Consider the following 14,135-nt stretch of genomic DNA (forward strand, 5'->3'; position numbering starts at 1 on the left):
TTTTTTTTTTCTTTTTAACTCAAGAAAGGGCTTTTATTGTTTTTAACTCACTTCCTGGGAAGTTAATTTTTAAAACACTCTTATAGAGTTTGCTCATCGCTTGTGCTACATTCAAAAACAACGATGCCAACCAAAACCCTCAGTGACAGGGTGAGCATCCCACCTGGGCCTACCCCTGAGCTTTCCAAGGGTGGGTCCGATCAAAGTGGTCCCCCCAGACCAGATGCTCAAGAAACACTTGGGGATCAGTGATTGGCTCTTAACTTGCCTTCCACTAACTCTATAAAAGTGTTCTTAAAAACAGTACCGAGTAACTTTTTAAGCTTCGGGCCACACTGCCTTAGCCCAGAGGAGCCGGGGAGAAACGTGGACCCACTGACAATGGGGCACATTCGGCTCCTAGCCTTAAATAGACGTAGAAACTGTATTACAGATGCATGTACCAGTGCAGGACATACGAGTGAGCTGTGTGCAACAGATGAGCACGCGACATGCACCCACAGGCGCGGAGATGCAGCGGGATCCGGGTTTCTCCCCCAGCCAGCCTCCCTTCTCCAAACAAGCCCTCCTCCAACAGGACACCCACACCTGTGGCCAAAAGCCCTTGTCCATCCATGTTTCCAGGGCAGTGTCCGAGTCCTGCGTGACCCTGTGGGGGTCAACCTCTATGAGCATTCGGTCAGCAAATGCCACGTCGGCCAGCCGGACACTGATCCCAGAGAGAAGGTGAAGGCTGCTCCGGAAGAGCTGTGTCTGCACGCGCTCCAGCACCCCCGCTCTGAGCAGGCTGACTGCTGATGTCCTCAGGGTGAGGCAATTGCCGCAGAGGCCACCTGCCAGCGTGCACACCCCTCCAGGTTCTGTGTCTCGTGATCCCTCCGACCTGGACAGTTTGTCCTTCGTTGTAGGAGTGTGAGTGCAGCTCTTGGGCCCAGATGGGTAGGCCGGTGTAGGAGGAGAGGCTGGGTTCCAGTTATTTCAGCATGCGCAGGGCCACAGGCCTGTCGCGTCCATGGCCCTCGGTCAAAGTCAGCCCTGGTGTCTTCTCCAGCCTCAGCTCTAGGGGCATCATCAAGGGAGAGAGTGAGATGGGCAGGGACGATGTGGTGCTTCCGCTTCAGGCCTCTGCTCAGAGCTTGATTCCGTTCAGTCCACTTTCCAGATAACGCCGAATGCGAAACACAGTCCAGGAAAGTTAGTTCCATCCACTTGGCTGCCAAATAATCTTGGGCTGTGCTGGGAACCACGGAAGATGTAGGAAAGCTCGTGAGATGTTCCCAAGCAGGGCCTCTCCCCGAACCCCCAGGTTAAAAACAAAAGTAAAAGACAACAAAAAAGGAATCAGAATTCTCCAACACTGGCCCTGTCCCCAGTGAGGGGTCCGAGCCCCCATACCAGCGTCTGAATAGACAAGAGCTCTGGTGCCACCACCCCAAGGTGGGCAGGGTACCCCCCTCTCCACCATATGCCTGTGGCAGCTGAGCCAGGCCTGCCCGGCCCCAGCGGGAGGTCTCTTCCGTTGTGGTAAGCCTGGCCTCCACCTGCCATCTTGGTCTCCTGCCTCTGCCTCCTGCCCCAGGCCATGCCAACCAGCCGGGTGGCATTTCTGAGGCTCCATGGGCACCCGGTTTCCCCACAGAATGGGTCAGGCCAAGGAGGTCCAAGAAGAGGAGGATGGCCTCGTGGGAGCCCTGCCCCCAAGACCCCAAATGACATACATTCCAGTCTGTCCCTGGACGTGCGTGCGTGGAGGTCATGCAGCACGATGGGGGAGGGGCGGGAGTGGGGCTGCAGTCCCCAGCCCCCTGCCTGCGGGGGCGGCTGTTGCATGAGGGGTGGGCCTCTGGAGGCGCGGGATGAGTGTGCTGCCGGGTGGCCCTGGGTGCATGCAGGGGCTCAGGATGCAGCCTCGTCTTCCTGGACGCCGGGGAGCTCTGGGCTCTTGCCCCCTTCACCAAACCCTTCTTTCCTGTTCAGGGGACACCAGGGACAGAGGGACCTCAGGGTCAGAATATGCACTCAGGGAGACACTCTCCCTCACACACACAGGAATCTGAATCCCACATCTCTCAAAGCCCCCTTCACCCACTGCCCCAAGCTTGGCCTCCCTCTGGCCTCCCTACATCACGGCAGTTGCTCCTTGCCGGTCTCTCAGCCCCCAGTCTCAGCCCGCAACGCCTCCGTGGCCCCCCATTGACCAGAGATGAAGTCTAAACCTCCCAGCACGGCCTCTGGAGCTGCTCACAGTCTGACCCAGCTGACTTCCCTACATCCTCCAACTATCAGCCTAATCAAGGGCCTTCTCTCTGTGTGTGTGGTTTTGTTGTTGTTTTGAGACAGCGTCTCGCTCTGTCGTGCAGGCTGCAGTGCAGTGGTGCAATCTCAGCTCATTGCAACCTCTGCCTTCCAGGCTCAAGCGATCCTCCCACCTCAGCCTCCTGAGTAGCTGAGACTACAGGCACATGCCACCACGCCCAGCTAATTTTTGTATTTTTTTATCTCTATAAAAACAGGGTTTCACCATGTTGCCCAGGCTGGTCTCAAACTCCTGGGCTCAAGCGATCCATCCACCTCAGCCTCCTAAAGTGTTGGGATTGCAGGCGTGAGCCACCGTGCCCGGCCTGAGGGCCTTCTGTGTTGACCTCAGTCATCCCCCAGCAGATCTGGGTAGAGAGGCTTTCATTTTGCATTTTTCTTTGCCTTGTTCACAGGGCAGAGTCCATCTATCAGTCTTGGGATTCTGTCACATATTCAACAGATTTCTATATCTAGTTTTCCTCCCAAAATGTCTCTTTTTAAAATAACCAGTAAATGGGTTTTGATATCTTTAAAAAGGACCAACTCCACTTAACTCTACTACTGAGTTTCTACAATTATCCCAAAGTATAAAAAACTCTATGGCCGGGCACAGTGGCTCACGCCTGTAATCCCAGCACTTTGGGAGGCTGAGGTGGGCAGATTACCTGAGGTCAGGAGTTTGAGACCAGCCTGGCCAAAATGGTGAAATCCCGTCTCTAATAAAAATACAAAAATTAGCCGGTGTGGTGGTGGCATGCACCTGTAATCCCAGCTACTTGGGAGGCTGAGGCAAGAGAACTGCTTGAATGTGAGAGGCGGAGACTGCAGTGAGTTGAGTTTGCGCCACTGCACTCCAGCCTGGGCAACAAGAGTGAAACTCCATCTCAAAACAAACAAACAAAAAACCAAAGCAGTCTATCAAGGATAAATATTGGGACTTGATGATGAAGTAAAATCTTCTTTCAAAGTTAAACGTGGAGGCTGGGTGTGGTGGCTCATGCCTGTAATCACCTGGCACTTTCGGAGGCCAAGGTGGGCAAATGGCTTGAGGCCAGGAGTTTAAGTCCAGCCTGGGCAACATGGCAAGACTCCATCTCTATTTTTTTTTTAAAAAGCTCTACCCCAAATTAAACTTGGGTCACAGAATTCTAGAATTTTATAGCTGGAAAGTATTAAGCCCAATCTTGTCACTCTGTTTGCCAGGTACAAACTAGACACTAAATGTATCCTTATCCTGTGTCTGGCTTGTTCCACCACTAGGGGGTGCTGGACCACAGGCTCTGAGTCAGAAGGACCAGGTGTCCGTCCACCTGCTGTCCTGGCATAATTATTATTACTTTTTTTTCTTTTTTTTTTTTGAGACAGGGTCTGGCTCTGTCACCCAGGCTGGAGTACAGTGGTGCAATCTCAGCTCACTGCAACCTCCACCTCCCAGACTCAAGCAATCCTCCCACCTCAGCCTCCTGAGTTGCTGGGACTACAGGCACCCACCACCACGCCCGGCTAATTTTTTTTTTTTTTAGAGATGGGGTCTTGCTATGTTGCCCAGGCTGGTCTTGAACTCCTGGCCTCAAGCAATCCTGCCTTGGCCTCCCAAAGTGCTGGGATTATAGGCATGAGCCACCATGCTGGCATAATAATTATTATTTTTTGAGACGGAGTCTCACTCTGTCGCCCAGGCTGGAGTGCAGTGGCGTGACCTTGGCTCACTGCAAGCTCTGCCTCCCGGGTTCACGCCATTCTCCTGCCTCAGCCTCCTGAGTAGCTGGGACTCCAGGTGCCCGCCACCACGCCCAGCTGATTTTTTGTATTTTTAGTAGAGACGGGGTTTCACCGTGTTAGCCAGGATGGTCTCGATCTCCTGACCCTGTGATCCACCCGCCTCGGCCTCCCAAAGTGCTGGGATTACAGGCGTGAGCCACCGCACCCGGCCGTGCTGGCATAATTATTAATGGCTTCCCCTTTCACTCTCAAAAATGTCCCCATTTGGACGTCAAATTATATATGCCCCCTCTCCCCCTACACTAAGCACAATTCCAGCATCAGGGGCCTACATTCCTGGATGAGCTCAGAGAATCCTCCCCCAACCGCAACCACCTCCCTGAAGAGATGACAGAAAAGCTGCAGTTGGGACCTCCAGGCCTCTCCCAGGCCCCCCACCTCATTATGAGGCTCTCCCTGGGTGCAAGCCACCTCCAGCAGGGAGCAGATGTCAGCTTGTCCACTACGAGGGGTCCCGACCCTTCTGAAGGGCCCTCTTATGAGAGGGAGGCCTCACGGGAAACCAACATGGTGGTCCCGGACAGGCCTGGTGACAGCGTGAAGCCAAGGCACCCGGACAGCGCCTGGCACTCACCCCTCTGGGGAGTGCGCCTTCCACACAGAGCAGGCCAGGGTGGGGCAAACAACTCCCACCAGCCCCTTCCCCAAAGCTTCCCTCCGGGGCCAGAGGAAGGCAGTGGCTGTCCCAGGACCACGCTGTGGTTCAGGACCCCACTGGTTTTCTCTCTGCAGGTTTGTGTACAAACTCCAGCACAGGCCTTATTAGCATCCCAGACTGGCTTTTATTATAGTGAAGAAGGTGGATCTGCTGAGGACGAGGCGCACAGGCTTGGGGAGCTGCTTTTCTGGACCCTCCTAGGAGGTGGTGAACCCACAGGCGTGGCTCACCATAGGGAGCCCTCGGCCAATGCGGGTTCCTCTCCCGTGGTCCACCGGCCAGCCTGTCCCTGCTTACTCACTGAACAAGCACTCACAAAGTGCTGACTGGGCACAGAGCCCCAGCAATGGCTGCAGGCAGCCTGGGCCACTTGGGAGAGCAGCCAACAGTCCCCAGGGCCAGGCAGAGGGGCCAGCACCCCTCCTCTACAGCCCGCCAGCCTCCTACAGGAAGCCAACATCAGCCTGTCTGCAAACCTCTGCCAGGCTGCCAAGGGCTGAGGGGGCCACAGATTTGAAGCCCCAGAGGGGCTGGACCCAGTGAGAGAGTGACATCAAGCTGCATGGAAGAAGGGTCTTCCTGTCCCATGGAGGGGCTGCGTGAGCTCCTCATCCCTGGAAGTGTGTGTGTGAGGGATGCTGGCCCCAGGAATGAAGCAAGAGCTGGGCCCAAAAGGTCCCTTCTAGCCCCGACTAACCTTGGGGACAGAGATGCAAATGGGGCCAACACCGAGACCTGGCCAAGTCCCCAGGCTCTGGCCTTGGCCCAACGACAGTGAGAGTGGGAGGATGGGCCTCAGACCTCCCCACCCAACTCCAGGGAGTGCCCGGCAGTCCCTGGCCCACCAGTACTTACACCAGTAGGTTTCCTGGAGCAGACATGGATCGCTCTTCCCTCCGTGCTTGGGGCTCAAACGGGTTCCCAAAGGAACGCTTCCTCAGCATGGACTTCACCAGGATCTGAGGAGGACAAGGCAGCGTGAGGAGCACAGGTCCCAGGCTCCCAGACACGCAGCCTCTGCTCCGATTCCCCGAGAGCAGCTGCCAAGGGGGCCGCAGTGCGGGTCCCATCTCAATCAGCACAGCATGAAATGGCAGAGGCAAGAACACGGGGCGCTGGCAGCTGGGGGCATATTCCTGGAATGGTGAGGAGCCGGATGCCACTGGTACATGAGGAGGGGGCCGGGACCAGCCCATGAAGGGTCCGCAAGGCCAGGCTGAAAGAGTGGGGAGGGCCAGGGCTGGAAGTGGGAGTCCATTAGAAGATACCTTCTCGCTACGGCAGCAATGCCATGGAGGGATGCTGTGCCATCCTTCCCGCCTTCCGGCCGCCGAGAAGATGCCAAGATGCTACTGCAGGGCGGCCCGGGAAGCGGCTGAGCCGCAGCCGGTGGCCCAGTCAGTGGGGCTGCCAGGAGGGGAACAGCTGCCGCAGCCTGGCTCTCTGCCTTTGTCCCTCCTCCGTGACAAGGACGGTTCCATGCCGTGCCCACAGACACGCCGACTCACACGCATGCAGAGAGGCAGCGGCACACTTGCCAGTCCCTTCACTCCCTCGCTTGTGTCCATCCATCCCGTCAACACTGGTCACCACTGGCTGCCTACTGGGTGCTGGCCACTACTCTAGGCCCTGGGGCCACACTGAGGCCAGAATTCCTGCCCTCATATAGCCTTTTTTTTTTTTCAGACGGAGTTTTGCTCTTGTTGCCCAGGGCTGGAGTGCAGTGGCACAATCTCGGCTCACTGCAACCTCTGCCTCCCCGCTTCAAATGATCCTTCCGCCTCAGTCTCCTGAATAGCTGGGATTACAGGCGTCCACCACCACACCCGGCTAATTTTTTGTATTTTTAGAAGAGACGGGGCTTCAGCATGTTGGCCAGGCTGGTCTCAAACTCCTGACCTCAAGTGATCCTCCCGCCTTGGCCTCCCAAAGTGCTGGGATTACAGGCGTGAGCCACTGCGCCCAGCCATCATACAGCTTATATTCTAGTTGGGGGAGACAGGCGATAAGTAAAGAAGAAAAATCAGTAAATTATGTATGTCAGTAAGTGGAAAGGAAAAAATAAAACAAGGGAATGGCGATGAGGTGTGAAGCAGGGGAGGCTGAAGCTACAGGGTCAGGGAAGGCTCGCTTCTCTCTAGGAGGGGACCCTGGCGTAAAAAGCCGAAGGAAGTGAGGGAGCGAGTCCCGTGGCCATCGGGGGTGGGACTCCCCGGGCAGAGGGAAGCGAAGTCTGAAGGCTCTGGGGCAGCCCCTTCCATGGCACGTGGCCAGAGACGAGTGCATGATGGCGGGACGGTGCACGAGCCCCGCAGAAAAACAGGGCGGGTGGTGGGGCACAGGCTGGAGGTCTGATTCTGAGGGACACAGCAGCCCGAGTGAGAAGCAGGCTCTGAGCTGGGAGGTGACACACTCATGCCACTGGGACCATGCTGGGTGCTGAGTTGAGCATTGACCAGGGGGACAGGGAGTGAGAGTAGAAGCAAGGGACAGCGTGGGAGGTTGTTCCAGTGGTCTGAGAGAGAGGAGATGGTGGCTAAGATCAGGCAAGTGGTCATGGGGACCCCGTGGGAGTTGCCTGGTTCCAGCGACCCCACAGAGTCAAGTAAGCATAGGGGGCAGGGATTGAGCCAGCTGGTCCCAGCTGGGCCGGGACCCTGCAGAGGGGGATAAAGTGCAAGGCCAGGCCCCGCCAACGGCAGTGGCCCTGGCTCTCCTCCTGGCCTTGTGCTTGCCCTGACTCACTTGACTGTCAGGCAGGGGCAGGGCAGGGCTCTCAGTGGCCCCAGGTGGCCACGGGGGACTATGTGAATCACTTCCAAGTGCCAACACAGAAGCTGAGCAGAGGAAGAGGAGCAAAACCGAAATGTGAGCGGGCACTAGGGGAGACACAGGCACTGTCTAATGGATACGCAGGATCTGGGGGAGATGCAGGCACCGTCTAACTGATACGCGGGCTCTGGGGGAGAAGCAGGCGCCGTCTAACTGATACACAGGATCTGGGGGAGAAGCAGGCGCAGTCTAACTGATACGTGGGCTCTGGGGGAGAAGCAGGCGCCGTCTAACTGATACGTGGGCTCTGGGGGAGAAGCAGGCGCCGTCTAACTGATACGTGGGCTCTGGGGGAGAAGCAGGCGCCGTCTAACTGATACGTGGGCTCTGGGGGAGAAGCAGGCGCCGTCTAACTGATACGTGGGCTCTGGGGGAGAAGCAGGCGCCGTCTAACTGATACGTGGGCACGGGGGAGATGCAGGCACCGTCTAACTGATACACAGGATCTGGGGGAGACGCAGGCACTGCCTGATTGATACGCGGGCGCTGGGGGAGACGCAGGCCCATCTAACTGATATGTGGGCTCTGGGGGAGACACAGGTGCTGCCTAACTGATACGTGGGCTCTGGGGGAGACGCAGGCGCCGCCTAACTGATACGTGGGCTTTGGGGCCACTCCTCCAATCCAAAGGCTGCCCAGGCCGTTCCCCTGCCTTGTCCTCGGCACCTTGTGCAGTGCCTGGAGAACGGAAGCTCAGTAACTGTCTGGACGGAATGAAATGCTTCTTCCAGTCACGGTGACTGCTGCCGCTGAGCAAGGGCCATCTATTTCTTTCTTTTTTTTTTTGAGATGGAGTCTCGTTCTGTCAACCAGGCTGGAGTGCAATGGCGTGATCTTGGCTCACTACAACCTCCACCTCCCAGGTTCAAGCGATTCTCCTGCCTCGGCCTCCCCAGTAGCTGGGACTACAGGTGCCCACCACTGCGCCCGGCTAATTTTTTTGTATTTTTAGTAGAGGTGGGGTTTCGCCGTATTAGCCAGGATGGTCTCGATCTCCTGACCTCGTGATCCACCCGCCTCGGCCTCCCAAAGTGCTGGGATTCCAGGCGTGAGCCACCGCGCCCGGTATTTCTTTCTTTTCTTTTCTTCTTTTTTTTTTTTTGAGACGCAGTCTCGCTCTGTGGCCCAGGCTGGAGTGCAGTGGCGCGATCTCGGCTCACGGCAAACTCCACCTCCCGGGTTCACACCATTCTCCTGCCTCAGCCTCCCGAGTAGCTGGGACTACACGCGCCCGCCACCACGCCCAGCTAATTTTCTATATTTTTAGTAGAGTCGGGGTTTCAAGGATGGTCTCGATCTCCTGACCTCGTGATCTGCCCGCCTTGGCCTCCCAAAGTGCTGGGATTACAGGCGTGAGCCACCGCGCCCGGCCCCACGCCCGCTATTTCTTTAAATCAGTCACTCTCCTCACCAAGCCTCCTGGTCTCCCGACCACAAGACCTCCCTCTCCATGGGCCTCCAGCAGAATGGCGGCTCCAGTGGCCCAGGATCACAGCTGGCTGGCCAGGCAGGCCTCTGTCCCCCCAAGGAGCCAGGCACAGAGCAAGGCTCAGGTCCCCCAGGCCCTCCAGGACAAGGGAGCATCTACCCCGGCTCTCTTACCACCGTGGTCCAGCTGGGGATGAGCCTGACTGAGTTCTTAACCTCCTCCTCTGTCACCTCCACCACGCTGCAGTGCTCCTCCTCCGAAGGAAGGGGCTCCTCCCCGTTCTTGGTCACCCAAGGGTGCAACTGTCGGGGCCGGGAGGGCAGGGAGAGGGGGAGAGGTCAGGCCATTACCAGAATCACCTGGAGGGGTCCAAAGTCCACAGACTCAAACCCAACACACATGCATCCTGGTGTTGATCCCTCCAGAAAGGGAAAGTGACTCCTGTTTTCTGTGTCCCAGCCCAGCCCAAGACCCCCAGTTCCCCGACCTTGATGTCTGGCACCCCAATTCTCGTCTCGGGATTCTTGTCTAACATCTTCAGGATCAGGTCCTTGAGCTCCTCGCTGATTTCTGGCCTGGAGAGGGCGAAGGAAGGAGAGGAGGGTGGGACCGCTGATGAGGACCCCTTCCTGTCCACCTCTCTTCCCGAAACCTTCGTCCCTCGGATGGGAAGACTGAGTTCCGGACAGCAGGCAGGAATTTCACAACAAGGGCTTGGAGAGCCTTTCCTGAGCAGGAGGTCAAGTCTCCCTCCAGGACAGAGGCACAGACAGAGTTCCATGGGTGCTGGACACCCCAATGGGTGGCAAAGATGGTGAGGAGAGTCGCTTTATGGGACACCAGAGGCCTTCAGACCCACTCACCACCTCGTCCTTTTCTACACCCAGAGAAGATCCTCTCTCATTTGACAGAGGAGGAAACTGAGGCCCAGGGAGGTTAGCAGGCTGGCACAGTGCCAGCCAGAAGAGTGCAGGCAGAGATGGGAGACTCAGATGGGAGGGAGCAGCCCCCTCAGCGCCACATCAGCTCCAACTCTCTCTGCCCAAACCCCAGGGTTCTTTTTTTTTTTTGAGATGGAGTCTCGCTCTGTGGCCCAGGCTGGAGTGCAGTGGCGCAATCTCGGCTCACTGCAAGCTCCGCCTCCCAGGTTCATGCCATTCTCCTGCCTCAGCCTCCCGAGTAGCTGGGACTACAGGTGCCCGCCACCGTGCCCGGCTAATTTTTTGTATTTTTAGTAGAGACGGGGTTTCACCGTGTTAGCCAGGATGATCTCGATCTCCTGATCTCATGATCCGCCTGCCTTGGCCTCCCAAAGTGCTGGGATTACAGGCGTGAGCCACCACGCCCGGCCAAACCCCAGGTTTCTTTGCCACCAGTGGTCTTGGGGAGCCCATCCTTCCAAGACTAGGGAGCAGAAAGCCACTCTCAGGACTGTTGACTTCGGTTCCCCCTGTTGTCTTAGATGCTTCATCCCTTTTAAAATTCCTGGGCTGAGGGGAAAGACACCCCTCAGCAGGGGGTATAGCAGGAAGAGAGGCACCAGGGGTACAACTGTGGAGGCAGGGAGGGAAGGCAACCACAGGATGAGGAGGAAATGGACAGAAGCCAGCTGGCTGGTGCTCGGGAAAGGGAGTGAGGCGGCCCCAGACGAGCGGGTGGCAGAACCCGGAGACGTGTGAATGCTAGCGCCAGGGTGTGGCTTTGAGAAGCTTCAGACAAACTTCAGGCAAGAGATGCAGGCAGATTTGTTGTGCTTTATCAGGGCTGTCCCCGCCTGAATGTGTTGGCTGGACTGGAGGGAGGCCAGCAGCAGCGAGACCAGGGGGAAGGTGGCTAGATAAGTCTGGGGAGGGGCCTGAGGCCTGAATGAGGCAAGGGGTATAAGTGGCAACAAGGCCCAGAGACAGGGAAGAGGAGGGCTCAGCAGGGCTTGGGGACCACACAGGAAATAAGCAGAAGAGAGCAGGAGTCGCTGAGTACAAGTCCCGTTTCATTTTCTTTTTTTGTTTGTTGTTTTTTGTTTTTTTTTTTTTGTTTTTTTTTTTTTTTTTTTTTTTTTGAGACAGAGTCTCGCTCTGTCGCCCAGGCTGGAGTGCAGTAGCACGGTCTCAGCTCACTGAAACCTCTGCCTCCCGGGTTCACGCCGTTCTCCTGCCTCAGCCTCTCGAGTAGCTGGGACTACAGGCACCCGCCACCACGCCCGGCTAATTTTTTTTCTATTTTTAGTAGAGATGGGGTTTCACCGTGTTAGCCAGGATGGTCTCGATCTCCTGACCTCGTGATCCGCCCTCCTTGGCCTCCCAAAGTGCTGGAATTACAGGTGTGAGCCGCCGCACCCGGCCTTATTCAGTTTCTTTCTTCTGTTTTTTTTTTTTGAGACAGAGTCTTGCTCTGTCGCCCAGGCTCACTGCAACCTCTGCCTCCTGGGTTCAAGCAATTCTCGTGCTTCAGCCTCCCGAGTAGCTGGGACTACAGATGTGCGCCACCACGCCTGGCTAATTTTTGTATTTTTAGTAGAGATGGGGTTTCACCATGTTGGCCAGGCTGGTCTCTAACTCCTAACCTCAGGTGATCTGCCCACCTCAGCCTCCCAAAGTGCTGGGATTACAGGCGTGAGCCACCGCACCCGGCCTCCATTTCACTCCTGAAATCCACTGCTGAAAAGAGGAGCCTGGGAGCTCAGGCTGTGGCTGCCACGGTGGCCGTCATGAGGCGAACCATGCATGAGCAAGAGGCCTCCCCGACGTCCCTGCTACGCTCAGAGACCTCGGTCACAATGGGAAGAGTGGGGAGGAAGAGTGGCTTGAGTCCCAGCCCCCTGACCGCTCTCCTCCAGAGCATCCTCTTTTCCATCTGTGAAATGGGGAGCACGCACTGGCATCTTGAAGTTCCCTGACCCTGAGTGGGGGAAGGAGAAGTTCCCCTTGAGTCCAGGGGCTGGGTGGGGCTGGCGCCACTGACCCCAGGCAGGCCTGCGGTGAAGGAGTGGTGTGAATGATGCCTGTGGTCATCCCTGGCCAACCCTGGATCTCAGGGTTCCCATCCACACAGTGACGTTGCGGAGACCCTTGGCTCCAGAGTCCCTCCCGTCCATCTATTCAGGGGTCCCTCCCAGGGAACAGCACCGCCACCTTCATATCTGCAGGCTGGGGTGGGGTCCTCAGAGGGCAAAAGCTCTGCTAAAACTCAGACACCAGGAGCGGGTGGTAGCCCCCTTGTTCCCCTGGGTGGACAACTCACTCCTCAGGAAACACCACGGGCTCATTCTTGATCTTCCTGTGGAGGGCCAGGATGAAATCGTCGATGAATGGGCACTGTGGGGTGGAGAGGCAGACAAAGGATGTGGGTCCAGGGCCTCGACCTGTGCCAGGGGATCAACCCCCCTCCCTTGGTGGGGGCAGGGGTAGGGGGCAGGTCTGGGCTCCCATTACATGAGAAGGACCTCAACTCACACTGTAAATGTTCAACAAATGTTGACTGAATGAATGAGTTGCTGAGGGAACAATGAGGCTGGGTGCATCCACCGCCGTTACTGCCACCCGCGGCCAGGCCAGGCCAGGCTGGGTGCACCCACCACCATTACCGCCACCTGTGGCCAGGCCTCCACTCCCAGGGCCTGGGGCTTGGGAACATGTTCACTGAAATTCCCCCCTGCCCCTTAGTGTGGTCACCAGAGCAGGCACACCTGCGGGCAGGGATCACCGATACGTCAGCGTTGGGTGTCCCCAGGGTCCAGCCTCAGCCAGGGTAGGGGTGAAGGACAATTTGTCGAATAAATGAGCAAGGGAGTGAACACATGGCTCAATAAGTGAATGGCGTCAAGGGACAGAGGGACGGGGAGCACTCTGGCTGGGGCGGTGGCAACACCATCGTCGGCACCTCCCCTTAGGTGTCTGCTGTCCTGCGACTCCTTCGCGAGAATCGCTCCGCAGGGGACCAGAGAAAGATAGAAAAAGCCTCTTCTCTCTCAGCCTTCTCTGAGCCAGGTGGGCTCTTTCAAAAGCCACTTAAGGACAAAAAGGAAGAGCCTGCATCCGTCGCCCGTGCCCGCCTCACTGGACCCGCCCCAGCTCTGCTGGCATCCCTGGCACTCACCTTCCCATAGACAAAGCAGTACAACGTGACGCCAGTGGCCCATACATCCAAGGCCTGGAAAGAAACATGCTCACATCAGTCCCCAACAGGCACAGCCACCTCTGCCCACCCAGCTCCAGCGGGCTGCAGGAGAGGCCTGCAGGGAACCTCTTTCCTCTGTCATGCACTCACTCGACAAACACTCCGCGGTACTTGCCCGATGCTGGGCCCCGTGCTGAGTGCTGAGGACACAGGGGCGGCCAGAACAAGGCCTCCACCCTCCAGGGGTTCTGGATTTCCTTGGGAAAGACTCTAACCAGGTACGTTTCCAACTCAACAGGTACAAAACCTCCTTCATCCAGAGGGTCACACGGGCCGCTCCCGTGCCACAGACGCACCCCAGGAATGATGGTATATATGGAACTTCTGCTCACTAAACCAGCTCGGGCTTCAAGGAGTCATCCCTTCTCCTCATAATCCACCTTCTTCCTGATATTGCAAACAGCCCCTGCCCACACAGAGGCCCTGTCCTCTCACGCCCTCATCCACCGCCACTGCAACAACTCCTCTGGGCTCCCAAACACCCCTGGGCCTCCCCGCGCCCTGGACTCCAGCGTGTGCTCTCTCTACCTTCTGCTCCGGAACGCCACCTCTTCTGGTATCCACTTTCTCGCTTATATGAGTGATTCTCGATCTCTACCTACATATTCCTGCCCCAGATGCATCATCTGAATCCAACCAGGGAACACCAGACAAATGCAAACTGACAACATTCTACAAAATAACAGGCTGGTTGTCTTCCAAAATGTCAAGATCAGGAAAGACAACGGCAGGCCAAGGCCCTCTTCCAGATGAAAGGATACCACAGACAAGAAGGTGAATGCAGCAAGTGGTCCTCGATTGGATTCCGGGACCAGAAAAAGAAGAAGTTATGAAGTACAGTATCAGGACAACTGATAACATTTAAATAAGGTCTGTGGATTATGTATGTCTTTTTTTTTTCAGACAGAGTCTCACTCTGTCGCCCAGGCTAGAGTGCAATAGCACGATCTTAGCTCACTG

The 14,135-nt window shown here is 56.7% G+C and overlaps 1 protein-coding gene across 3 annotated transcripts in view, besides 2 other annotated features; it reads right to left on the bottom strand.

Moving 5' to 3' along the window:
• Nucleotides 1–14,135, bottom strand: part of CAMKK1 (calcium/calmodulin dependent protein kinase kinase 1) — a 32,739-nt gene continuing 18,604 nt past the window's right edge. For 2 of the 3 annotated variants that reach the window (NM_032294.3, NM_172206.2), the window contains exons 11-16: nucleotides 13,095–13,148; nucleotides 12,240–12,313; nucleotides 9,487–9,574; nucleotides 9,173–9,301; nucleotides 5,594–5,697; nucleotides 1–1,969 (exon numbers count right to left, since the gene is read on the bottom strand). In NM_032294.3, coding sequence (NP_115670.1) covers nucleotides 1,897–1,969; nucleotides 5,594–5,697; nucleotides 9,173–9,301; nucleotides 9,487–9,574; nucleotides 12,240–12,313; nucleotides 13,095–13,148 — 522 coding nt within the window. In that variant the 3' untranslated portion in view covers nucleotides 1–1,896. Of the gene's footprint in view, nucleotides 1,970–4,842; nucleotides 5,698–9,172; nucleotides 9,302–9,486; nucleotides 9,575–12,239; nucleotides 12,314–13,094; nucleotides 13,149–14,135 lie in introns of those variants that run through there. The other variant, NM_172207.3, reaches the window with a different exon arrangement.
• Nucleotides 7,481–7,982: an enhancer, noted in NCBI's record as "H3K4me1 hESC enhancer chr17:3771089-3771590 (GRCh37/hg19 assembly coordinates)". NCBI's record gives its function as "activates a minimal SCP1, AML or CMV promoter by ChIP-STARR-seq in primed H9 embryonic stem cells {active_cell/tissue: H9 hESC(primed)}" and the evidence as "EXISTENCE:reporter gene assay evidence [ECO:0000049][PMID:30033119]".
• Nucleotides 7,983–8,482: an enhancer, noted in NCBI's record as "H3K4me1 hESC enhancer chr17:3771591-3772090 (GRCh37/hg19 assembly coordinates)". NCBI's record gives its function as "activates a minimal SCP1, AML or CMV promoter by ChIP-STARR-seq in primed H9 embryonic stem cells {active_cell/tissue: H9 hESC(primed)}" and the evidence as "EXISTENCE:reporter gene assay evidence [ECO:0000049][PMID:30033119]".

This window comes from Homo sapiens, chromosome 17 (genome assembly GCF_000001405.40).
Source record: "Homo sapiens chromosome 17, GRCh38.p14 Primary Assembly".
Classification (NCBI taxonomy): Eukaryota; Metazoa; Chordata; class Mammalia; order Primates; family Hominidae; genus Homo; species Homo sapiens.